At 35.5% G+C, this 25,660-nt stretch overlaps 1 long non-coding RNA gene across 6 annotated transcripts in view, besides 1 other annotated feature; it reads left to right on the top strand.

Annotated features, from left to right (window-relative positions):
* The window catches only part of LOC105369468 (uncharacterized), a 383,452-nt gene that overhangs the window by 229,871 nt on the left and 127,921 nt on the right, over nt 1-25,660 (top strand). The window lies entirely within an intron of this gene.
* Nucleotides 13,358-14,557: an enhancer, noted in NCBI's record as "P300/CBP strongly-dependent group 1 enhancer chr11:105167667-105168866 (GRCh37/hg19 assembly coordinates)". NCBI's record gives its function as "activates an origin of replication core promoter dependent on BRD2, BRD4, P300/CBP, MED14 and CDK7 cofactors, with strong dependence on P300/CBP, by STARR-seq in HCT116 cells {active_cell/tissue: HCT116}" and the evidence as "EXISTENCE:reporter gene assay evidence [ECO:0000049][PMID:35650434]".

Below are 25,660 nucleotides of genomic sequence, written 5' to 3'. Positions count from 1 at the left end.
GAGGAAAGGCATAAATACGGATGTGCAGGAGTGTTCCTTGTACTGTTGGCTGCTAGTTATAATAAAGCTATCCTTGCCTTTTTCCACCAAGTGTTTGTCAATGGTATTCAGAAATCAGTTTAAGAAGAGTTGCCATAATGTGATTAGGCTGCCTGTGTTCTGACAACATATTCAAGAGCCAAAATTATAAAGTGTGGTGAAACTGAGCATTGGAAAAATGCCTTAATATTGGCTTTCTATTTAAAAACAGTGAGAGGTTCAATACATATCTTCACTTTGGCATGCCTCAATTTCCTCATCTGTAAAACAGTGAGTTTTTAACTATATGATGTATCAAGCCCATTTCAGCTGTTAACATGTGAAAATATTTTGGCCACATTGCCGAAGAGTTCATATTCTTTGATTTTTAAAAAAATTTTAAAAGTATTAGTGAACAGGGTTATATATATATATTTTAATTGGAAAGTAAAGATCACCCACATGAAATCTATGCATTTATCAGATAGCTAAACACGTGTAGAGATTCCACCTACTAGATTCTCAGGAGTGCTGGAAAGCTTGGTGAGTCTGGTGCTGCATCACTTAAGTTATAAGCTTTCCTCCAGGAGGAGTAAAAACAAATCTGAGACCAAGACCTGGGTGTTTCTGGGTTTATTTCATATTTAAGCAATTTTCTTCTTTAAATGACTGTATTTTGTGCTATGAACTTGACAATATGTGTATTTTGCCAGATTATTAGTTACTTGTTACATTGAGTTGGATTGGTTTCTCAGGAGCCCTGTGAGGTCAAAGGAGAAAAAGGGTTAATTGGACACAAGTGTTTGAAGGAGATAGGTACTGAACCCTTACTTAACTGAATAGAAAGATGGAACAGGGGTGTGCTGGGCAACATGGCCAAAATGCTGCTAGACAGGAGTTGGGATTGCCAAGAAAAGCAGAGTAAGGAATAAGGTTAAAAGGAGACAAAAGAAAGGAGACAGAGTATGTCTAGTTTCAACATTTTGAAGGTAACATTGAGAAGCGGTATTTGATCTGAGGGCAAAGGAGACTCACTGAAATAGAGAGATGACAGTTTCAAGAGATTGACACAAAAATGATTTAGCAATAGTGTGCTACAAACTTAGAGAAGAAAGCAGAATTTAGAAGGCCAACACATTGTGTTTTATATCTTAGGTAACTAGGAATCCTACAAAAAAAAGATTCTGTAGCCTAGAAAAGAAAGAATAGAAAAATTAAAACCATGTCCTAGAAAATAAGGTTATTAGACTTTACAATAGTAAAGAATAGAGAGATGGCAACACTTTGGAGTTAGAATTAACATCAGAGATTGTCTCTTAGTTTGTGAGAAAGCTGAAACATAGAGAAGCTAAGAGAAATACTCAGATATTTAACTGGTTTTTTATAGAACAAGAAATGTTAATATTTTTTCCGACATCAAGTTTAATTTTATTTTTGCTGTGTCTTGACCCCCTTTCTTAGATAATGAATATTATTAAAGGACTTGAATATATAAAGAGAAAGAAAAGATCATACTATTTCCTATGTTGTTGCAAAAATAGACAATGAAAACAATTGGGTGCAGAAGTTTCATTTTTACCAAATAAACTTGGAGACAGCAGAAATAATTTCATATATTATTAATTTATTCATTAACAATATGTTTAAATCAAGTGTCATTCTAAAATCTGGGGTTAAAAACATGAGAAATACTTTGTTCCTAATCTCAAGGCATTTATTGACAAGTGGGTGCAGATAAATGCGGCAACTTATAATGTTAACAGGAAGTCCTAAGTTCCGTAATAGAATTGTGCACAGAATGCTATGTGAACCCAGAAAAAGAGCAAACTGGCATACTTTTGTTTAGTCAGAGAACCCTTTCTGGAGTCGAAAAATATTTGGTCATGAAGGGACAACAGTGATTTAGCCCAGGAGACGGGGGAGAAATAAATGTCTTAGGGTAAAGACAGACCTAGGATGAACATGTATCACTGTGATAAGTCACAAGTTCTGTAGGACTGGATATCGGTGGTAAGAGAGTTAGGTTTGGAAGCTGAAGACAAAGGGAAGGATCAGGTCATGAAGAGTTTCATATGCAGCGCTACTAAGTTTAAAATTCATATGAGCAGTACATGGCAAGCTAATAAATGGTGATGAGTAAGAGAATGATGATCAGATCTGTGTTTGAAGATGCTCAGTCTAGTAATACAAAGAGTTTTCAGAGTCTGGAAACTAGGTAGGAAGCAATTTCAGAACTCTAAAAGAAAAAACAAAAGAGCTTTAACTAGAGAAATTATGGAGACAAAGGATAACATAGGAGGAACTCAAGACATATTTAGAAAGAGTTTCAAACATTGCCTGCTATGAAGTTACATTCTTAAAGTGGGAGGGGTAGAGGCTATTTGTCTATCAGGGCTCTAAGTTGGATGACTGGGTGGTGGCAGTGCTATTAAGAGAGATTATTTGTTCAACAGTGGCTAATGGAAGAGTAGTGTAGTATCAAGGTGAAGAACAGGAACTAATAAGGAAAGAACACCTAATAAGTCCTAAGCACTGTACTAGAGACTTTGTAAAGCTCATCTCTTTAATAATGATAATAAATTTGGCTAAGTAGGATCAGAAAGATTATATATATTCTGCCCATTTTTCGTATATTTTAGAAGCATTTGTGGGATTCAAACTTACATATTTACTAGTGAAAAATTCATGCTCCTTCCACTTATCATTCTAAGTGAGTCTCAGTAGGGCTGCATCTTAGGCCTAGTTATTCCATATAACAGTTAGTATGCTTTAGAAAAAAAATCACCTAAAATTTCTAACATTTAGTGTCCATAACTGTAAAAATGATTAAAAAAATGCTATCTCCTTCACAGCAATAACTATTCAGGAGAAGTATTACATGAAGTTTATTTATAAATTGTAATGTGATAAATGTTCATTACAACTGTATCATCATTATTATTAAGATTTATTGTGAAGAAACAAATTTCTCTTTTTAAGTCAGGTCAATTGAGATATAATATAGAGCACAGTAAAGTTTGCCCTTTTAATATGTAGACTGATGAAGCTGACAGATATATACAGCCATGTACTCACTATAAATTAGATATATAGAATATTTCCATCAGCTGCAAAGTCTCCTCATGCCATTTTGCAGCCGATCCCCTAACTATACTTCTTTCAAAAACTGCTATCTGATTTCTGTTTCTATAGTTTTGCTTTATCTAGAATGTATATAAATGGAGTCATACAATATGTAGATGTTTGTTTCTGGCATTTTTCATTTAGCATAATGCTTATAAGAATTATTAATGTTGTTGTATATTCAGGTACTTTTTTCTCTTTAATGTGCAGTAGTTTTTCAGTCTGTGGATGCAGTACAATTTGTTTATATATTCACCAGCTGATGGGCATTTGAATTGTTTTTACATTTAAGCTATTATGAATAAAGCTGCTATGAATATTCAAAGATACCTGCTTTCATTTTTAATACCTAAGAGTGGGATTTTAAGTCATGTGATCTATTTATGTTTAACTTCATACTTTGAAACTTTTTCAAAGTATATTCCCATCAGCGCTGTATGAAAATTTCAGTTGCTCTACCTCTTCAAGAGCATTTAATAGTGTCAGTCTTTAATTTAACCAATGTAGTAGGCATATAGAGGTGTCTCATTATGTTTTTATATCTTTCCCTAATGACTTACTACGTTTAACATATTTCATGTGATAATTTTCCTTACTTTTTTATTTATGTATGTAAAAGATGTATTTATTTTTTTTCAAATTTTTATAAACTTTTTGTCTCCTTATTGTTGAGTTGTAAAAATTCTCTATACAAAACTTTTCTGGGTACAAGATCTGCATGAGATTTATGCTTTGCAAATAATTTCACAAAATTTGTAGCTTGTCTTCTCATTTTCTTAAGAGGATCATTCTAAGAACAACAGTATTTAATTTTGTTGAAGTACAATTTATCTTTTTGAAAATGTTATGAATCATGCATCTTTGCTTAAACTGTCACAAAGACTTTGCCTCATGTTTTCTTATAGAAATGCTATGCCCTTACCTTACACTTAGGGATATAATACATTTCAAATTCAATTTTATATTTGAAGTGAAGTATGGTTAATGTTATTATTGTTTTTTGGTACATGGATATCAGATTGTTCTGACAATATTGATTGAAAAACACAATCCCTTTTTCAATTAATTACCGAGGAACCTCTGTGGATAACCAGTTAACCATGTGTATGTGAGTTTATTTCTAGTTTCTCTCTTCTTTTCTCTTTGTATGTCTATATGTCTATTGATCTGTATGTTTATCCTTATGCCAGTGCCACACTTTTTTGATTGCTGTACCCTTGAATACCTATGGAGGTTAGACAATGTGAGTTTTCCAACTTCAATCTTTGAGTTTCTTACAGACATTAGTTTGATAGGAAAACCTCTGCTTTTCAATTGCAGAAAGGTACAAAGAAGAAAATGCAAATTACACATAAGCCTCTCAATAAGAACTTTTTGAAAATATAGTTTTCAGTTTTATGGTGTTTATAGAATTATGTTAATATATAAAAACATGCAATGTTTTTATTGTGTTATATAACATCATGGCATAAGCAATTTATCATGTTTGTAATTATTTTATTTGTAATTATTATTTTAATGAATATTTCATTGTACAGAACTATCACAAGTTAGGATACCAATACTGGACATTTGTGTTGATTTCAGGTTTTGGTAATTTAATAATAATGTAATGAGATATTTTTCCATAATTCTTTGCATCTATGGCTATTTTCTACAGCTTAATTTCTGCCAGGGAAAATATTGGGTCAATGATTATGAGCACTTTTAAGAGCTTAAAATTTCTACCCATAGACAAAAATATAAATAGTAACATAGAAATTATTTCACACTGTCTGCCAAATTTATGCTTTTTTTAGCCATAAAAGTTTCATAAACAAGTTTATGTCATTGGATTCTCTGTGCATTTTGTCATTTTTTAATAATTAAAATTTAGTATGTTTCTCTTTTCTTACCTGCTCCCAACCCTCTTCAGATTCACCTGTTGGGTAAAAAATTTCCCCAAGCTTTGCAATGAAAAACTATAACATGTAACCAAATTGAATAGTTAGACAAAACAGAAACAATCTACTAAAAGTTTATGTTTGCTAAGTCAATTTGCAGGGTATAGAAAAGGATATTAGAAAACTTTAGTTCACATAAACAATAAATACCTAGTTATTCATTTGGGTGGATTAGTTTGAATTTCAAAAAAAATTTTTTTTTTTTGAGACGGAGTCTCGTTCTGTTGCCCAGGCTGGAGTGCAGTGGCGCGATCTCGACTCACTGCAAGCTCCGCCTCCTGGGTTCATGCCATTCTCCTGCCTCAGCCTCCTGAGTAGCTGGGACTACAGGTGCCTGCCACCACGCCCGGCTAATTTGTGTATTTTTTTTTTAGAGACGGGGTTTCACCGTGTTAGCCAGGATAGTCTCGATCTCCTGACCTCGTGATCCGCCCTCCTCGGCCTCCCAAAGTGCTGGGATTACAGGCGTGAGCCACCGCGCCAGGTCTTGAATTTCAAATTTAATCATTTTAAAGTATTATTACTAATGAGTATTGCAAGCACATCACTATATAGGTAATTCTTGTATATAAATATCAGAAATTATTGTATGCTAGGCAATGTACTAGGCATGTTGCATTCATTCCTTCATTAAATCCTAATAACAAACCTGCAAGATGGGATGGTCACATTCATTTTACCTAGGAGAAAGTGGAAGCTCAGAGCAATTCAGTACCGTTGCATAGTTGAAATATCACAGAGGAAATGTCTACATCAAAGGTAGCCTGGCTCCAAAATCCATGGTATTTCTTCTACACCATAATGTAATTGTTAGGATTTAAATGGTCTATTGCTGTACTCTTTGGCATTCCATTTTCTTCCATCTATTCACAAAATATACTAAATTCTTCCAACATATTGAGCACTCTTCTGGGTGTTGGGAATACAGAATATAGGGGAATATAGCAGACAAAATCTCTGAATTCATGAAGTTGTCTGTTAAGTAAGGATATACGGCACACACATTATTTCATAAATATACAATATTTATAAAATCATATGTATTATAAATTATTAAGGAAGAATAGAGGGTGTAATGATCACAAAACAAATGGACCTTGTTTACATTTGGAACCGGCGCTCTCAATAAAAGTATTTATTAAGAAATTAATATTAAAGATAAGTCCCATGTGATGGGTTTAACAGGTGAAGCATAGGGAACAGCATTCTGGGCGGAAGGATCAGCATGTTAGCAGGCTCTGTTCTGAAGTCATGCTGGACCTCGTTGTGCAAGAAGACAGCAGGAGCTATGCGATGTAGAGCCTTGCGGGCTTTGTTAAGAACTCTACTTTTTATCTCTCTTCTTCTGTTCCTTTCCAGATCTTGATGTGGTATATTCTACTTCATAAAATATTTATGCCCCCTCACACCTATATTAATATCTCCTTTCTTTGACTCTTTGCGCATATATTATCATATGCTGCTAACAAAACTGTTTGCATATGTGACATTATAACTCCTTAAGAGCAGAAATAAAGACACATACTCCTTATCACATAGATGAGATGAGTAAATACCCTCTAATTTTAAAGGTATACTTAAATTTTATGGTAGACCCTCCCATAATGGGAGAAATAAATACAGTTAATATTAACGCTTTTTACTAGAAATCAAATATCATTTGTATGAAATCAGTGGCTGTGGCTCCATTAGCATATCAAAATGTCTGAAGTGAAAATATGTGGAATAAGTAATATTAAATGCTATGTAAATGTAAGAGATTATATTAAGGATAAAGCTAAAGATATATTTTTATGGACTAATGAGAGTTAATAAAAGACACTAGTATCATATTCTTTTGAAATCAATGTGCACATAGAGTATGCGTCAATAAAATCACATTCATGCTGTAAAGACTGAGAAATACACAGAATTTTAGATCTTCCTTTATATGAAAACAACTCTCAGAAGAGCAAAGACACAAATAAGTGACTTGGGTCAAACTTAGAAGGTTTGTCTTTACAAAAATGATTTCTAATACATAGAGAAAATCATGGTTATAAAAGCTTTTCACGGATAGGGAAATAATAGAAAATAAACTTTTTGCATCCTTTTGTTTCTCTGCCTAATTTTGTTTGATGACAGGTAAGTTGACCAAGAAAAAGCCTCCCGACTTGAAATCTGTAATAAAAAATATTAATGGAAATTATAATAGTGCTTTTCCTTCCTACAAATTATTCTAGATATTTTGTATTTCCTAGTTCCGCTGACAACAAATTCACTAGAGGAAATTAGAAAATAATTTATCGTATTTTTGCTCCTGTATCTATGAATCCTTAAACAAGGACGGTCTTTTAGCTCTTTTTTAAGTAAGTAGAAATCTTTTGACTACAGCTGGTTTATAAAAGCTTATTTAATAACTTGAAAAAATGTACTGTCAATTATGTAGTCACGGTAATTCTGAGCTTACCATTTCTTTTTGGTTAATTTAGTAAATGTATAAGCGTATTATAAAAAGTATTATGATGCAAAGTTATAATTTATGACAAGCCAGAAGATTCTATCAAATTGGATATAATGGTTTGACACCCTTCCCTTCCCCTCCTAAAATAGTACTGCATTGTAATTTAACAGTATTATTTTCTATAGTTATTCTTGAGGGTCTTCTGAGTTGAAAGGCATAGAATGAAACATGTTCTTGTTTTTGGTCCTGTCATTTTTGGATTACAGTAATTGTTTTAATTCTGAAATGCTATAAAAATATAAATGAACAAGACATTGCCTATTATTTAAAATTAAACTCATTATTTAACTGAGAGGTAATTTTATGGTAGGCATCATTTCCCAAAGTTGGAAAGAGGTTGAGATTCCTCTTCACAGGTTTCTGTAATCACCTCTTTACAAATAAGCCTTCCCCAAGCCCAGCCTTCGTTGTGCTAATGGTGAATAAAACTTTATTTCACTTCATATAAATATTTTTCTGGCTATCTGAATTATCATTCTGCAAGATGGCTTAAATCTAGTGCTTATGACTACTTAACTGTTTCACTGTTGTGATACTAATATCAGGTCTCTGTCAAACTCGATTAAATGTGTATGACATTCATTCAACATCATTGATTGAGCATCTTCTATGTATAGGGATGGCATTAATCACTGTGGGTAAAACATGGCTTCTGTCATCTCAAAACTTATGACTTACTAGGAAACAGAGACAAATATATCAAGGCACACAGGACAATGGCAGATGCTATGGGAAAGAAAGATAAGAAAGACAAAGGTGCAATGAGGGCAGAAAAGAAGGGCATTTAAATTAGACTGGAAGAGCCAGAAACACTTCTCAGAAGTAATTATTGAGTTTTATCATGTCTAAAAAATATAATTTGTTTCAATGAGGGCATGATGAGAGGTTACCACTTTAAGCAGAACATACAGTTTTGTCTTCTATTAGCATAGCCAATTAAGAATTGATGGATTGAATACATTTTGAATATATTTTAATCTATGTGGTAAAAAGTATTATTATAAGCTACTCCACTGAATATTTTATATTATTGAGTCAAAATAAATATGTAGCTGGACATCACATGGCCATTGTCTGGGAGCTGAACTGACACTAAAGCTGAGACTTTTAATATTGTTCTTGAGCTGACTTTAGCCTCTATTAGAGACTCAGCAAGCAAAGTGAATTGACATGGACCCTAGGAGATAAGGATGGAAGTGCCATAATTCATACTTATCTTTTCTGACCATATCCATTGTTCTTCCCTAGATCTTGGTCATTTTCTATAGTCTGTTTTCAGGAGGTGAGCTTGAAATATTAATTGTCTGAGGTAGAGAGACATAAGGAGAGATGGCAAATGCTGCTTAAAGAGAGAATTGAATAACTGCAGAGCTCTTCTTTTGCTTCATGGAATACAAATGCCATTCATCTTTACATTTAATACATTCACTCATCAAACATTTATGGAATATCTACTATGTGGTAAAATTCTCTGCTGGGATTCACAGATGAATCAGACTTACTTTATACCTCACTGAAACTCATGACTTAGAAGAGACTGACCTGTAGGCACATAAATGAGTGGAACAGACTGGAATTGGCCTATTGATTAATGCATGCATGGGCCAGATGAGCAGAAGGACACAAAGAAGACCTGGCTTCCAGCAGGAAATGATGACTGAGCTGCTTCTAGAAAAGCTAGAAAGTAAATGTGCAACAGCCTAATGAGGACATTTCAGGCAGTGGCAAAGCATGAGGTGTGTGGCAGACTTGGTTATAGGGTTTGTGTAAGACTTGGGTGGTGTTGCATAAAAAGAGCTAGTAGTAGCAGCAGAGTCTAGAAAGGCATAAGGAGGCTGACATCACACTTAGAGAAGAGCTTAGTCTTATTATAGAAGATGAAAGGGGTCATTAAAATGATAACAGCTTTTTTGAATATAGCTTTGTACATGTATCCATGGCGGGATTATTTGCAACAGTAAACAGGTAGAAACAACTCAAATGTCCATCAGTTGATTAATGGATAAACAAAATGTGATGTGTGCATGCAACAAAACATGGTGTGTGCACTGTGGGTGAGTGTGCACATGCACACATACACATATGCACAGTGGAATATTTCTGTCACAAAAACATGGATGAAGAATGAAAACAGTAGGCTAAGTGAAAGAAGCTAAATTCAATGGCCACATATTGTATGATTTCATTTACATAAAAATCTAAAGTATACAAAGCAGATTGGTAGTTACCAGTGACTGAGAGAAGAAAGAACAATGAAGTCCTGTGTAATGAGTACATAGTTTACTTTAGGATGAGGATGTTCTTGAAGTAGGTATTGGTGATGATTACACAACATTGTGAATGTATTAAATGCCACCAAAGTTTACATTTTCAAATTGTTAAAATCATAAATGTTATATTATGGGTATTTTATCATAATGGAAAAAAATAAATACATTAACAGCTTAAAACTAGGGAACATAACAGGAATAGTGGTACCAAAGAACCACAAAATGACTGGCGAACAGTCACTTTGTTAGAAGCATCACACAGTTGCATATGCAGGATTCTGGGGGAGATGCCTGATTTGCAAAGCTGACCAGCAAAATGTTTCTAATGGGACCTCTCCCAGAACATGGAGTTCATTTTTATCCCCTTTGTATTATTTGCCCTTTATTATTACAGCCATGCAGATACCTCTTTGAATATGGGAGCTATGTCTATTATTTTGGCACTAAAGGTAATGCTAGAATCACAGTAGACATTTAAGAAAGTGACTTCATGATTGGGTTTTAGTGTTAATGTGACCTTAAAATCAGTATAGTGTAAACCCCTAAGAGGACAATTTCCTTACATGGGCCTTCCCCATTCTCTTAATAGGCTATTCTTCATTTTCCAATTAAATCGTGTTTACTTTCCTTTTCAAACTACTAAACAGTATACCTTTGTAGCTTGCATCATAGTTTGCTTTTTCTTCAGGGTGAATACTTTGAATAGTAATTTCTTTCATGTTGTCTGAATTCTATTCCAATTGTAAAAGAATTTATATAACCTGGGTGAACCATGCTAACCTAATGTTATCAACATATATCAATCTAGTGAGTTGATCAAATACATATTAACCTTGGATTTTAAAATCAGAAAATTAAGGCTCAAGGTAATTAAGTGGCATGGCATAAATAATAGAGGTCAGAGCCTGCACTAGGACTTGGGACTTCACTTTCGAATTGGCAATGAGAGGCACTCAGTCTAGACCTGACAGAGACTAATCCAGGGTCCTTCATTCCAGTAGGCTGAGGTCTGTCAGCCAGTTTTAAGCTTGACCTTGTAGAGTGACTTTAAACTTCACCTAATGCTTCTTCCTCATAATCCTCCTGCCTGTACTGCTAACGCTCTAAAGGGAAATTTAGGCCATCCTTTTCTACCTTCCTCAAAAGCCTTATTCTTAGTCTTCTCCTTTGAGTGATCTCAAGGTTTGGGGACAAGTATTCAGAGTATAAGAAAGTTTGGAACTCATTTTATGGCCTCACTGGATTTTAAGAAATATCTGTGACCTTGGATGTGATGCAGTGCCTTCGTGGTATCGGAATGTACAGCACTAATGATCTCACTGATTGCAGTGAATAATGCAATCCATGCATTACAGGAATCCATACATTACAAAAATAATGATCTCATGTGTTGCAATGAATTTTTTATCCCAAACACTTCTTATAGGACTGAGTTGCTATACCTACAATGAAATCCCTCTCACTTTGGACTTATTACATTTTAAATGACCTCATTATTTTTTTTTTGTTACTTTAAGTTCCGGGATACATGTGCAGAACATGCAGGTGTGTTACATAGGTATACGTGTGCCATGGTGGTTTGCTGCACCTATCAACCTGTCACCTAGGTTTTAAGCCCCACATACATTAGTTGCTGATGCTCTCCTTCCCCTTGATCCCTGCCCCTGAAAGGCCCTGGTGTGTGTGTTTTCCCCTCCCTGTTTCCATCTGTGTCCATGTTTTCTCATTCTTCAGCTCCCACTTGTGAGTGAGAACATGTGGTGTTTGCTTTTCTGTTACTGGGTTAGTCTGCTGAGGATGACAGCTTCCAGCTTCATCCATGTCCCTGCAAAGGACATGATCTTATTCCTTTTTATGGCTGTATAGTATTCCATGGTGTATATGTACCACATTTTCTTTATCCAGTCTATCATTTATGGACATTTGGGTTGGTTCCATGTCTTTGCTATTGTGAATTAGACATTTAGGAGATTACATTAAATAACTACTTAAGAGTTAATACAAATTACTTTTTAGACTATCCGAATGGCACATCTGTATTATCATTGGTACATGGTACTCAGTCATCTATACATTAACTTTGGTTTTAAATGTGATTAAATCAAATCAACCATTTAGTATATTTTTAATCATAGGTTCTGGCATTCATAAACCAGTCAAGATTTTAGTCCAGCTAGCCTCTGCATTTTATCTATATTCAATTCTCTGAATCTTACTGTTTGGTCCCACAATAGCAATAATTTTGCTTCTATTATTAGTTTTAATAGAGACAATTTAATGAGTATACACATATATATTTTGTGCAAACCACTGTTACATACATTATTTTATTAAATCCTTGAAGCAACACTTTGAGGTAGGTATTTTGCGTTTTTATAAATAATTTAATAGTATTCAGAAAAATTACCAAGTAAATAAATAAAAAAAACAGATTTGGAGCCTAGATTTTTCTAACTCCGGAGCCCATTTACTTAACCATTTTCCATATAAGTATTCTCATATTTCATATTCTAAGTAGGTATATTCCATAGTTTACATAAGTATATAATTATAGAATTAATCAACAACATTATAAAACACTATTTGAATGCTGACTGATGGAGTGCTGCTCCGGCCGCTCACCAATTCCCCTATTTTTAGTATTGTGTGTCTTTGGCTATGTCCTGTCCCAGGGGTCAGATAAAGCTTCTCTCCTGAACAGAGTTGTGAGAGTTGACACTTTTATTTTTTTCTGTGTACATGACTTGAATCTAGGTAGAGTTTAAGATCCCAGAGGATGAATCATAGCACCTCCCAAAGGCCAGGACTCCTCTGTGAAGCAGAGAGCAGGGGAAAACATAACTTCAGAGTAAAATGCCACCGCACAGGCCCATTCATCCTCTCCACCAAACTCTCCTGGGGGCCAGTGAACTCTCCAGATAGTGGCCAGGCTCTCAATGATCTGCAAACCTTTGAGTCTTATGAAGAACTCTTGTAGTCAGGCCTTGTATTCACCCCTGGGAGAAATCCTTTGGTCTGAAGTGTCTGCTTACTGGACTTCACAGCTGCTAATCCAGCTGCCATTGGTAGGATTCCTTCATTCTTGTCTTCCCTTAGTGACAGCACCCCACCTGGGCAGCCTACAAATCCACTCAGCGTTCTCCTCACAGCTTCTCTCTAATCCTTGTGGGAAAGTAATGATCAGCTTCAGATCTTATGTCTGTGCCTGTCATCTTCTGCAGAGAGATATGCTGAGGCCTGGCCTTCATCTTGAGTCTTCATAGCATTGCCCCATGTGATAGCTCCAACTATCTGTTCTACTTCCTCAGCTAGGGCCTCTGTATTCAGCCCACGTCTGTGATTAAGCAGCCCTAAATGTTGTTACCACAAACATATGCTTTTCTTTGATTTATACAGTTTTGATTCAATCTAACAAACAGTTCTAGGATCTTGGTCCCTGACCTTTTTCACCTTAACATATTGAAAGTCCACTTATGCAAGGACATAAATATTTGAATATTTACTTAAGGAAGAGTAGAGATTCCCTACCCCCAATTTAATGAATTCATTAAAATATTCTCATTAGTATAAAGGTAGTTTTCAAATGTTTTTTTCCTTATGCTTTTCTGCAGTATTTGTATCTAATTTTAGAAATGTTGTTTTTGTAATTTTAAGGTAATTATTTTGCTTGTGGGCTTATTTTATTCTCATTAGTCTTGAATTTAAAAATTTTATAGTGAATATTTATTACTTTTCTTAAAAGAAATTACACACAAAGCAAGGGACATTTTTGTCATTTGTATTAATTGATCTGGATTTTTCTTTTTCAGATCAAAGGTCTCATTAGAGGGTTAAATCTAAGTAAGAAAACTAAGAAAAATCTCTCTGGGTTATGTGCCACACTTTTTAGTCATAAAACAAAGATGCTTTTAAGATCTCTTTATCATCCCCTGGTCTTCTCGAATTTTTCAACTGATCTCTGAGTCACTGCTGACAAAAATAACAGGAAATACTATTATCTCTGTAGAGAGTAATTTTTCCCTGACGCCTTTTCAAAAAGATGATTTTGACTAATTTTCTAACATGAGTAATAATGAGGTAGAAAAGTTCATATGAATCATCTTATCTGAATTCCATTTTATAGGTCTGTTTTTAAAATAATTTTCACACAACACAATAGGAGAGGACTAAATGGAAATCAAGAAATGTTAGGTTTCTATCTTTCACACTTTGAAACTATGATAAATTAATATTGAGATATATTTGTTATTGCATCCCACTACGTAGATGAATTTATATTCAAAACTGAAATTAGAGCTTTGTGAGACAAGTACCTTTTCATGGGCAACACACTAATATTTATTCTATTTTATTTTTATTTTTCTCACTGTCTATGAACACATAAATTTACTTTGTAACCCGCTAATTGGAACATATTACTTGAGTAATACTCTTATAGTACATTTCTCTCATTTGCCAAGTGAAAGCCCACAGATAATCGTTAAGAAGTTTAAAACAGGGCCTGGTGGCAAGATGGCTGAATAGGAACAGCTCCTGTCTGCAGCTGTCAGCGAGACCAACGCAGAAGGTGGGTAATTTCTGCATTTCCAACTGAGGTACCCTGTTCATCTCATTGGGACTGCGTAGGCAGTGGGTGCAGCCCACAGAGCAGGAGTAGAAGCAGGGTGGGGCGTCGTCTCACCCAGGAAGCACAAGAGGTTGGGAACTCCCTCCCCTAGCCAAGGGAAGCCCTGAGGGACTGTGCCATGAGGGACTGTACTATCCGGCCCAGATACTGCACTTCTCCCATGGTTTCTGCAATCCACAGACCAGGAGATTCCCTCGTGTGCCTACACCACCAGGGCCCTGGGTTTCAACCAGAAAACTGGACAGCTGTTTGGGCAGAGACCAAGCTAGCTGCAGGAGTTTTTTTTTTTTTTTTTTTTTTTTTTTTTCTTGTACCGCAGTGGTGCCTGGAACACCAATGAGACAGAACCGTTCACTCCCCTGGAAAGGGGGCTGAAGCCAGGGAGCCTAGTGGTCTTGCTCAGCGGGTCCCACTCCCACGGAGCCCAGCAAGCTAAGAACCACTGGCTTGAAATTCCATTGTCAACTTAGTAGTCTGAAGTCGACCTAGGATCATTGAGCTTGTTGCGGGGGGGGCGTCCGCTATTACTGAGACTTGATTAGGTGCTCACTAGATTCCTCTTAACTGGGCAGGCCATCTCAGAAAGGCAGCAGCCCCAGTCAGGGACTTATAAATAAAACTCCCATCTCCTTGGGACAGAGCACCTGTGGGAAGGGGTGGCTGTGGGCACAGCTTCAGAGGACTTAAACGTTCATGCCTGCTGGCTCTGAAGAGAGCAGTGGATCCTGACAAGAAAGGTTCTGCCAGCACAGCACTTGACCTCTGCTAAGGGACAGATTGCCTCCTCAAGTGGGTCCCTAACCCCCATGCCTCCTGACTAGGAGACACCTCCCAACAGGGGTTGACAGACACCTCATACAGGAGAGCTCCAGCTGGTATCAGGCTGGTGCCCCTCTGGGATGAAGCTTCCAGAGGAAGAAGAAGGCAGCAATCTTGCTGTTCTGCAGCCTCTGCTGGGGATACCCAGGGAAAGGGGTCTGGAGTGGACCTCCAAAAAACTGCAGCAAACCTGCAGAAGAGGAGCCTGAGTGTTAGAAGAAAAACTAACAGAAAGAAATAACATCAACATCAACAAAAAGGACCCCCACACACAGAAACCCCATCCAAAGGTCATCAGCCTCAAAGATAAAAGGTGGATAAATCCTCAAAGATGAGGAAAAAACAGTGCAAAACTGCTGAAATTCCAGAAACCGGAATGCCTCTTCTCCTCCAAATGATTGCAACTCCTCTCCAGCAAGGGCACAAAACTGGACAGAGAATGAGTTTGACCAATTGACAGAAGTAGGCTTCAGAAAGTGGGTAATAACAAACTCCTCTGAGCTAAAGGAGCATGTTGTAATCCAATGCAAGGAAGCTAAAAACCTTGACAAAAGGTTACAGGTACTGCTAACTAGAATAACTAGTTTAAAGAAGAACATAAATGACCTGACAAAACAGACTTTAAACCAACAATGATCAAAAAAGACAAAGAAGGGCATTGCATAGTGGTAAAGGGATCAATGCAACAAGAAGAGCTAACTATCCTAAATATATATACACCCAATACAGGAGCACCCAGATTCATCAAACAAGTTCTTAGAGACCTACAAAGTGACTTAGACTCCCACACAATAATAGTGGGAGACTTTAACACCCCACTGTCAATATTAGATCAATGAGACAGGAAATTAACAAGGATATTCAGGACTTGAACTAAGCTCTGGACCAAGCAGACCTGATGGGTATCTACAGAACTCTCTACCCCAAATCAACAGAATATACATTCTTCTCAGCACCACATAGCACTTACTCTAAAATTGAACACATAATTGGAAGTAAAACACTCCTCAGCAAATGCAAAAAACCAGAAATCATAAAAAACAGCCTCTAAGACCACGGTGCAATCAAATTAGAACTCAGGATTAAGAAACTTACCAAAACCACACAACTACATGGAAACTGAACAACCTGCTCCTGAATGACTACTGAGTAAATAACGAAATTAAGTCAGAAATAAATAAGTTCTTTGAAACCAGTGAGAACGAAGACACAATGTACCAGAATCTCTGGGACTCAGTTATAAAGGGAAATTTAGAGGGAAATTTATAGCACTAAATGCCCGCATCAGAAAGCGGGAAAGATCTAAAACTGACACCCTAACATCACAACTGAAAGAACTAGAGAAGCAAGAGCAAACAAATTAAAAAGCTAGCAGAAGACAAGAAATAACTAAGATCAGAGCAGAACTACTGAAGGAGATAGAGACACACAAAACTCTTCAAAAAATCAATGAACCCAGGAGCCAGTTTTTTGAAAAGATTAACAAAATAGATAAACCACTAGCCAGACTAATAAAGAAGAAAAGACAGAAGAATCAAATAGACACAATGAAAAATGATAAAGGGGATATCACCACTGATCCCTCAGAAATACAAACTAACCTCAGAAAATAGTATAAATACCTCTACACAAATAAACTAGAAAATCTTGAAGAAATGGATAAATTCCTAGACACATACACCCTCTGAAGACTAAACCAGGAAGAAGTTGAATCCCTGAATAGACCAATAACACGTTCTGAAATTGAGGCAGTAATTAATAGCCTACCAACCAAAAAAGCCCAGGACTAGACGGATTCACAGTCATATTTTACTAGAGGTACAAAGAGGAGCTGGTATATTTCTTTCTGAAATTATTCCAAACAATAGAAAAAGAGGGACTCCTCCCTAACTCATTTTATGAGGCCAGTATCATCCTGATTCCAAAAGCTGGCAGAGACACAAGAAAAGAAAATTTCAGGCTAATATCCCTGATGAACATCAATGTGAAAATCCTCAATAAAATACTGGCAAAGCGAATCCAGCAACACATCAAAAAGCTTATTCGCCATGTTCAAGTCAGCTTCATCTCTGGGATGTAACATATGCAAATCAATAAATGTAATTCATCACATAAACAGAACCAATGACAAGAACCACATGAATATCTCGATAGATGCAGAAAAGGCCTTCAATAAAATTCAACACCGCTTCATGCTAAAAACTCTCAATAAACTAGGTATTGATAGAACATAACTCAAAATAATAAGAGATATTTATGACAAACCCATAGGCAATATTATGCTGAATGGAGAAAAGCTGGAAGCATTACCTTTGAAAACTGGCATAAGTCAAGGATGCCCTCTCTCACCACTCCTATTCGACATAGTATTGGAAGTTCTGGCCAGAGAAATCAGGCAAGAGAAAGAAATAAAGGTATTCAAATAGGAAGAGAGGAAGTCAAATTGTCTCTGTTTGCAGATGAAATGATTGTATATTTAGAAAACCCCATCGTCCCAGCCCCAAAACTCCTTAAGCTAATAAGCAACTTCAGCAAAGTCTCAGGATACACAGTAAATGTGGAAAAATCACAAGCATTCTGATACACCAATAATAGACAAACAGAGAGCCAAATCATGAGGGAACTCCCATTCACAATTGCTACAAAGAGAATAAAATATCTAGGAGTACAACTTACAAGGGACTTGAAGGACTTCTTCAAGGAGAACTACAAACAACTGCTCAAGGAAATAAGAGAGGACAAACAAATAGAAAAACATTTTCTGCTCATGGATAGGAAGACTGAACATTGTGAAAGTTGCCATACTGCCCAAAGTAATTTATAGATTCAGTGCTACTCCCATGAAGCTACCATTGACTTTCATCATAGAACTAGAAAAAACTATTTTAAATTTCATATGCAACCAAAAAAGAGCCCGTATAGCCAAGACAATCCTAAGCAAAATAACAAAGCTGGAGGCATCAGGCTACCTGACTTCAAACTATACTACAAGGCTACAGTAACCAAAACAGAATGGTACTGGTATCAAAACAGATATGTAGACCAATGGAACAGAACGGAGGGCTCAGAAATAAGACCACACAAACGGGTGATATTCGACAAACCTGAGAAAAACTAGCAATGGGGAAAGGATTCCCTATTAAATAAATGTTGCTGGGAAAACCGGCTAGCCATATGCAGAAAACTGAAACTGGACCCTTCCTTACACCTTACACAAAAATTAACTCAAGATGGATTAAAGACTTAAATGTAAAACCTAAACCCATAAAAACCCTAGAAGAAAACGTAGGCAATACCATTCAGGACATAGGCACGGGCAAAGACTTCATGACTAAAATACCAAAAGCAATGGCAACAAAAGCCAAAATTGACAAATGGGATCAAATGAAACAGAAGAGCTTCTTCACAGCTAAATAAACTATAATTAGAGTGAACAGGCAACTTATAGAATGGAAGAAAGTAGTTTCGTTCTATCTGACAAAGGTCTGGTATCCAGAATCTACAAGGAACTTAAACAAATATATAAGAAAAAAAAACCAACCCCATCAAAAAGTGGGTAAAGGATATAAACAGACACTTCTCAAAAGAAGACATTTATGCAGCTAACAAACATATGCAAAAAAACTCATCATCACTGGTTATTAGAGAAATGCAAATCAAAACCACAATGAGATACCATCTCATGCCAGTTGGAATGGTGATCATTAAAAAGTCTGGAAACAACAGATGCTGGCAAGGATGTAGAGAAATAGAAATGCTTTTACACTGTTCATGGGAGTGTAAATTAGATCAACCACTGTGGAAGACAGTGTGGCAATTTCACAAGGATCTAGAACTAGAAATACTATTTGACCCAGAAATCCCATTGCTGGGTATATACCCAAGGGATTATAAACCATTCTACTATAAAGACACATGCACACATATGTTTATTGCAGCACTATTTACAATAGCTAAGACTTGGAACCAACCCAAATGCCCATCAATAATAAACTGGATAAAGAAAATGTGGTACATATACACCATGGAATACTATGGAGTCATAAAAAAGAATGAGTTCATGTCCTTTGTAGGGACATGGATGAAACTGGAAACCATCATCCTCAGCCAACTAACACAGGAACAGAAAACCAAACACTACATGTTCTCACTCATAAGTGGGAGTTGAACAATGAGAACACATGGACACAGGGAGGGGAACATCATACACCAGGGCCTGTCGGGGGTCGGGGACATAGGGAGGGAGAGCGTTAGGACAAATACCTAATGCATGTGGGGCTTAAAACCTAGATGACTGGTTCATATGTGCAGTAAACCACCATGGAGCATGTATACCTATGTAACAAACTTGCATGTTCAGCACATGTATCCCAGAACTTAAAGTAAAATAAAATAAATTAAAGTAAAATAAGAGAATTTAAAAATATTCTCTGAATTGACATAACCAGCTAGCATTAGAATGTCTATCTGAAAGTGTTTTTGTGATTTTGAGGTTGGTAATCCTATCTATTCATTGAATTATTCTTTTAACATCTACAATGATTGGACAGGCTGTTTTAAGCAGTGTTTCAAACTTTAAACTTTTAACAAAAAAATATTTTTCTGGTGTTTTAAAAACAAGCAAAAATGATATTAAGTTGTTAAAAATGATGACTGTAGAAAGAACATTTAAAAAAATTAGTACATCCATTTTTTATAAAGTGTTTAACATTAAATTTTTATATACTTTTATTATTTTTTACACTTAAAAATAAGTTTTATTATGTATAATTGATATACAATTAATACACATAAAGTATATAATTTGATACATTTTAGCTTATGTATACTCCCATGAAATAATTTTCTCCTCACAATGAAGGTGATAACATTTCCATATCTATCACCCCCAAAGTTTTCTCATGCCACTTTGTAATTGCCTCTCTAGTCCTTCAAAACCCTGTCCCCACCCGCTATCCCTGGGCAACTGCTAATTTAGCTTGTGTCACTCTACATTTGGAGGCATTTTCTGGAATTTTATGTATGACAGATTATGAACATGTACTCTTTTTTTAATTCAGTCTCTTCCATTTAGCATATTTATTTTGAGATTCATCCATGTGGTTGCCTAGGTAAATATTTCATTTCTTTTTATTGTGTACTATTCTATTGGAGAGCTATACCACGATGTGTTTATCCATTCACATGCTGATAGCCATTTGGGCTGTTTTCTCTTCGTGAGTTATAAAAATAAAGCTGTAATGATAATGTATAGCTGTGATTATATACCCTATGCTTTTGTTTCTCTTTGTCTAATGTGAAAAGTGGAATGGCTGGGGATCACATGGTCAGTGTATAATTAGCTTTTCAAGAAATTGTTTATTTGTACAATTGTACTATTTTATATTTTACCAGCAGTGTTTGAAAGTTTTAGTTTCTCAATGTTCTTACCAGTAATTTATCCTTTGTCAGGTATATGATTTGCAAAATATTTTCTCCTGGTCTGTGGCTTGTCTTTTTATTTTCTTACCAGTGTCTTCCAAAGAATAGAAATGAAATTTTATAAATTTTGACAAATCTAGTTTATCCTTTCATGGATGATGCTTTTGGTGTTTTTTTTTTTTTTTTTTTTTTTTTTTTTTTTTTTTTTGAGACGGAGTCTCGCTCTCTCGCCAGGCTGGAGTGCAGTGGCACCATCTCGGCTCGCTGCCACCTCTGCCTCCTGGGTTCAAGCGATTCTTCTGCCCCAGCCTCCCAAGTAGCTGGGACTACAGGCACGTGCCATCACGCCCAGCTAATTTTTTTTTTTTTTTTTTTTTTTTTTTTGACGGAGTCTCGCTCCGTCCCCCAGGCTGGAGTGCAGTGGCGCGATCTCGGCTCACTGCAAGCTCCGCCTCCCGGGTTCACGCCATTCTCCTGCTTCAGCCTCCGGAGTAGCTGGGACTACAGGAGCCAGCCACCATGCCCGGCTAATTTTTTTTTGTATTTTTAGTAGAGACGGGGTTTCACCGTGTTAGCCAGGATGGTCTCGATCTCCTGACCTCGTGATCCGCCCGCCTCGGCCTCCCAAAGTGCTGGGATTACAGGCATGAACCACCGCGCCCGGCCACGCCCAGCTAATTTTTGTATTTTTAGTAGGGCAGGATTTCACCATGTTGACCAGGATGGTCTGGATCTCTTGACTTTGTGATCTGCCCATCTCAGCCTCTCAAAGTGCTAGGATTACAGGTGTGAGCCACAACACCCAGACGCTTTTGGTGTTATATTTTAATATTCTTTGTCTAATCTAAGGTCACAATGATATTCTTGAATATTTCCTGTTATAATTTTATAATTTATGTTCATAATTTAGGTATATGATCAATTTTAAGTAATCAAGTGACATGAGGGATGAGATTAAAGTTTTTTAAATAGATAGGTATAAATATAGATATAGATATCTAATTGTCCAAGCACTATTTGTTCAAAAGATGCATCTTTCTTCACTGAACTGCCTGTTCATCTTTGTGGAAATGTTTTTTCATATGTGCGAGTCTATTTCTGTGCTCTCTATTCTGTTACACTGATGTATTTATTGATATATACATTGATATATTTATTGATGACATTGCCACACTGTCTTGAAGACTGTAGCTTCTACTAAATTTTAATAAATTGAGTCTACGGCCATACAGCCCTTAACTCACCCAATCTCTTCTAAATTTTAATAAAAGGTAGTGTTAATCGTTCAATACTGTCTTTTTTTTAAATGGGCTTTGGTTATTCTATGTCATTTACATCTGCTGATGAATCGCTTTGTCAATTTTTACAAAAACCCTGTTGTGATTTTATGTGGGATTATCGTGATGACATAGATCAAGTTGAGGAAAATGGACAACTTAGCAATATTTAAACTGTCTAACCTTCCACTATGGTAATATGTGTTTGTTAAGGACTTCTTCGTTTTTAATCTCAGCAAGTATTTATAGATTTTGGTATACAGGTCTTCCCTATATTTCCCAGATTTATCTCTAAATACTTTAAACATTTCAATGTTATTAAAGATATTATTTTTCTAATTTTACTTTCTGATTGTTCATTCCTAGCACATAAAATATAATTGATTTTTATATTGACCTTTTATCCTGCAAAGTTGCTAAATTTAGTTCAATGTTCCATTGGGTTTACCACATAGAGAATCATGCCACTTACAAATTAATACGATTTTCCTTCTGTCTTTCTAATCTGGATGCTTTTCTGCATTTTCTGTATTTTCTTGGCTAAAATATCCTACAATGTGAGTAATAGTGACAAGAGAAGACATCTTTGCATTTTTCCTGATCTTATTGAGGAAACATTCAGTATATTACCATTAAATATTATGTCTGATAGCAGGTGGAGGAAGCTTCCTTCTATTCCCAGTTTGTGAGAATTTTCATAAGTAATTGATATTGAATTTTGTCAAATTTGTGTGTCTGTTGAGATAATCATGTTTTCTATACTAATGTGATTATTATGTTGATTGATATTCAAATATTTAAGCTATCTTTAATGGATAAATGTTGCTTGGTTATCCTATATTATCCTTTTAGCACATTACTTGATTTAATTTGCTAAAAAGTATTAGTTTCAAGTTGGAACTTTAATTTGGATTTCCTTCTTGGCTCCTGAAGCTGGACATCTTTTTATATATTATTTGCCATTTTTAAGTCCTTTTAAGTGAAATATCCTTGCCCATTTTTAATTGTGTTAATATTTTTCTTGTTGAGTTTGGTGATTCTTTATATTTTTGGAATTGTGCAAGTCCCAGCTTGAATGTTTGTTTTGCAAATGTATCTTCCCTTTGCCCAGTGTGCTACTGTTTTTTTTTTTAATTCTCAGTGAGTGTTTTTCACAGAGAAAAAAAATTAATTTTGTTAAAGTCAAATTTATCTCATTTAATTTTATGAATCACATTTTTCGTATTATGTCTAGGAACTACTTGGATAACCCCAAGTCATAAATATTTTCTTGTTTTTTAACTCTTTTATAGTTTTACATCTTACATTTAGACCTATAATCCATACTGACATAATATTTCAAAAAAATTTTATGGATACATAACAGTTGCACATATTCATGAAGTACATGTGATATTTTAATACATGCATACGATGTGTAATGATCAAATCAGGGTAATCAGGACATGTATCACCTCAAACATTCGTTATTGTTTTGTGCTGGGAACATTCCACATCCACTCTTCTAGTTATTTTGAAATATACAATACATTTTGTTAACTCTAGTCACCCTTTTGTGCTATTGCACGCTAGATCTTATTGCTTATATCTAACTATATTTTTGTACCCATTAACCAACTGTCTTTATGCCCCACTCTTTCCTATCCTTCCTGGCCTCTGGTACCCACCATTCCACTCTCTACCCTCATGAGATCATTTTTTCAAAGTTCCCACATAAGAGTGAGAACATGTGGTTATTTGTCTTCCTATGCCTGGCTTATTTCACTTAATGTAACGTCTTCCAGTTCTATAGACGACATTGCAAATGACACGATTTCATTTCCTTTCATGGCTGAATAATATTTCATTGTGTATATGTACCACTTTTTTATTTTTAATTTATATTATTATTATTATTTTTATTATGAGATGGAGTTTCACTCTTGTTGCTCAGGCTGGAGTTCAATGGTGTGATCTCAGCTCACTGCAACCTCCGCCTCTCTGGTTCAAGCCATTCGCCTGCCTCAGCCTCCCGAGTAGCTGGGACTACAGGCACACGCCACCACGCCCAGATAAGTTTTTTGTATTTTAGTAGAAATGAGGTTTCACCTTGTTCACCAGGATGATCTCTATCTCCTGACCTCGTGATCTGCCTGCCTCAGCCTTCTAAAGTGCTGGGATTACAAGCAAGGGATTACATACCTGACCCGTACCACATTTTTTAAATGCATTCATGCATTGATGAACACTTAGGTTGATTCTATATCTTAACTATTGTGAATAGTGCTGCAATAAACATAAGAAAACAGATAGCTTTCTCATACACTGATTTACTTTCTTTTTTATATATACCCAGCAGTGGGATCAGTGGATCATATGGTAGTTTTATTTTTATTTTCTTGAGGAAGCTCCATACTCTTTTCCATAGTAGCTGTACTAATTTAAATTTCACCAACATTGTCCAAGTGTTCGCCTTTCTCTCTATCTTCACTAGCATCCATTATTTCTTTGTCAATTTGATAAAAGCCATTTAACTAGTGTGAGATAGTAACTCATTGTGGTTTTTAACTCATTGTGGTTTTTATTTGCATTTATCTGATGATTAGTAATGCTGAACACTTTTTCGTATACCTGTTGACCATTTATTTGTATATGTTCCTTTGAGAACCGTCTGTTCAGATCTTTTGTCCATTTTTAAATTTGATTAATTATTTTATCTCTTGCTCTTGAGTTGTTTAAGTTCCTTATATATTCTAGTTATTAATCTGTTACCTGTTTGAATAGTTTGCAAATGTTTTCTCCCATTCTACAGGTAATCTCTTCATTTTCTGATTGTGCCCTTGGCTGTGCAGAAGTTTTTAAGTTAATGTGATCTCTTGTCAATTTTTGCTTTGGTCGTGCTTTAGAGAACTTACACAAAAAAATCTTTGCTCAGACCAATGTCCTGAAACATTTCTCCAAAGTTTTTTTCTAGGGATTTGCTAGTTTCAGGGCTTATATTCAAATATTTAACCCATTTTGATTTAATTTTTGCCTGTGGTGAGAGATAGGGGTCTAGTTTCATTCTTCTGCATATGCATATTCAGTTTTCTCAGCACCATTTGTAGAAGAGACTGTCCTTTCCCCAATGTATATATTGGTGCCTTTGTCAAAAATGAGTTGACTGTAAGTGTATTTATTTCCGTGTTCTCTACTCTGTTCCACTGGTCTATGTGCTTGTTTTTATGGCAGTGCCATGCTATTTTGGTTACTATAGCTTTGTAGTAAAATTTGAAGTCGGGTAATGTGATGTCTCCAGCTTTGATCTTTTCCCTCAGGATTACTTTGGCTATTCTGGGTCGTTTGTGGTTTAATACAAATTTTAGCATTTGCTTTTTGTATTTTTGTAGAGAATGTCATGGGTATTTGAATAAGGATAACATTAAATCTGTAGATTTCTTAGAATAGTAAGACTATTTTAATAATAACAGATCTTTATTTTAAAAAATGTCGATTCTTTAATATGTCTTTCCATTTTTTTGTGTCCTCTTCAATTTCTTTCATCAATATTTTATAGTTTTCATTGTACAGATCTTATGCTTTAAGTGAGGTATCCTAAGAGCTAATAAACTTCTTAATTGAAGTTTATTCTTAAGTATTGTTTTATTTGTAGTTACCACAAATGAGATTGTTTCTTTGGT

This window comes from Homo sapiens, chromosome 11, assembly GCF_000001405.40.
Source record: "Homo sapiens chromosome 11, GRCh38.p14 Primary Assembly".
Lineage (NCBI taxonomy): Eukaryota > Metazoa > Chordata > Mammalia > Primates > Hominidae > Homo > Homo sapiens.
Note: the sequence above shows the minus strand (reverse complement) of the source record. Positions and strands in the feature narration are given on the sequence as shown.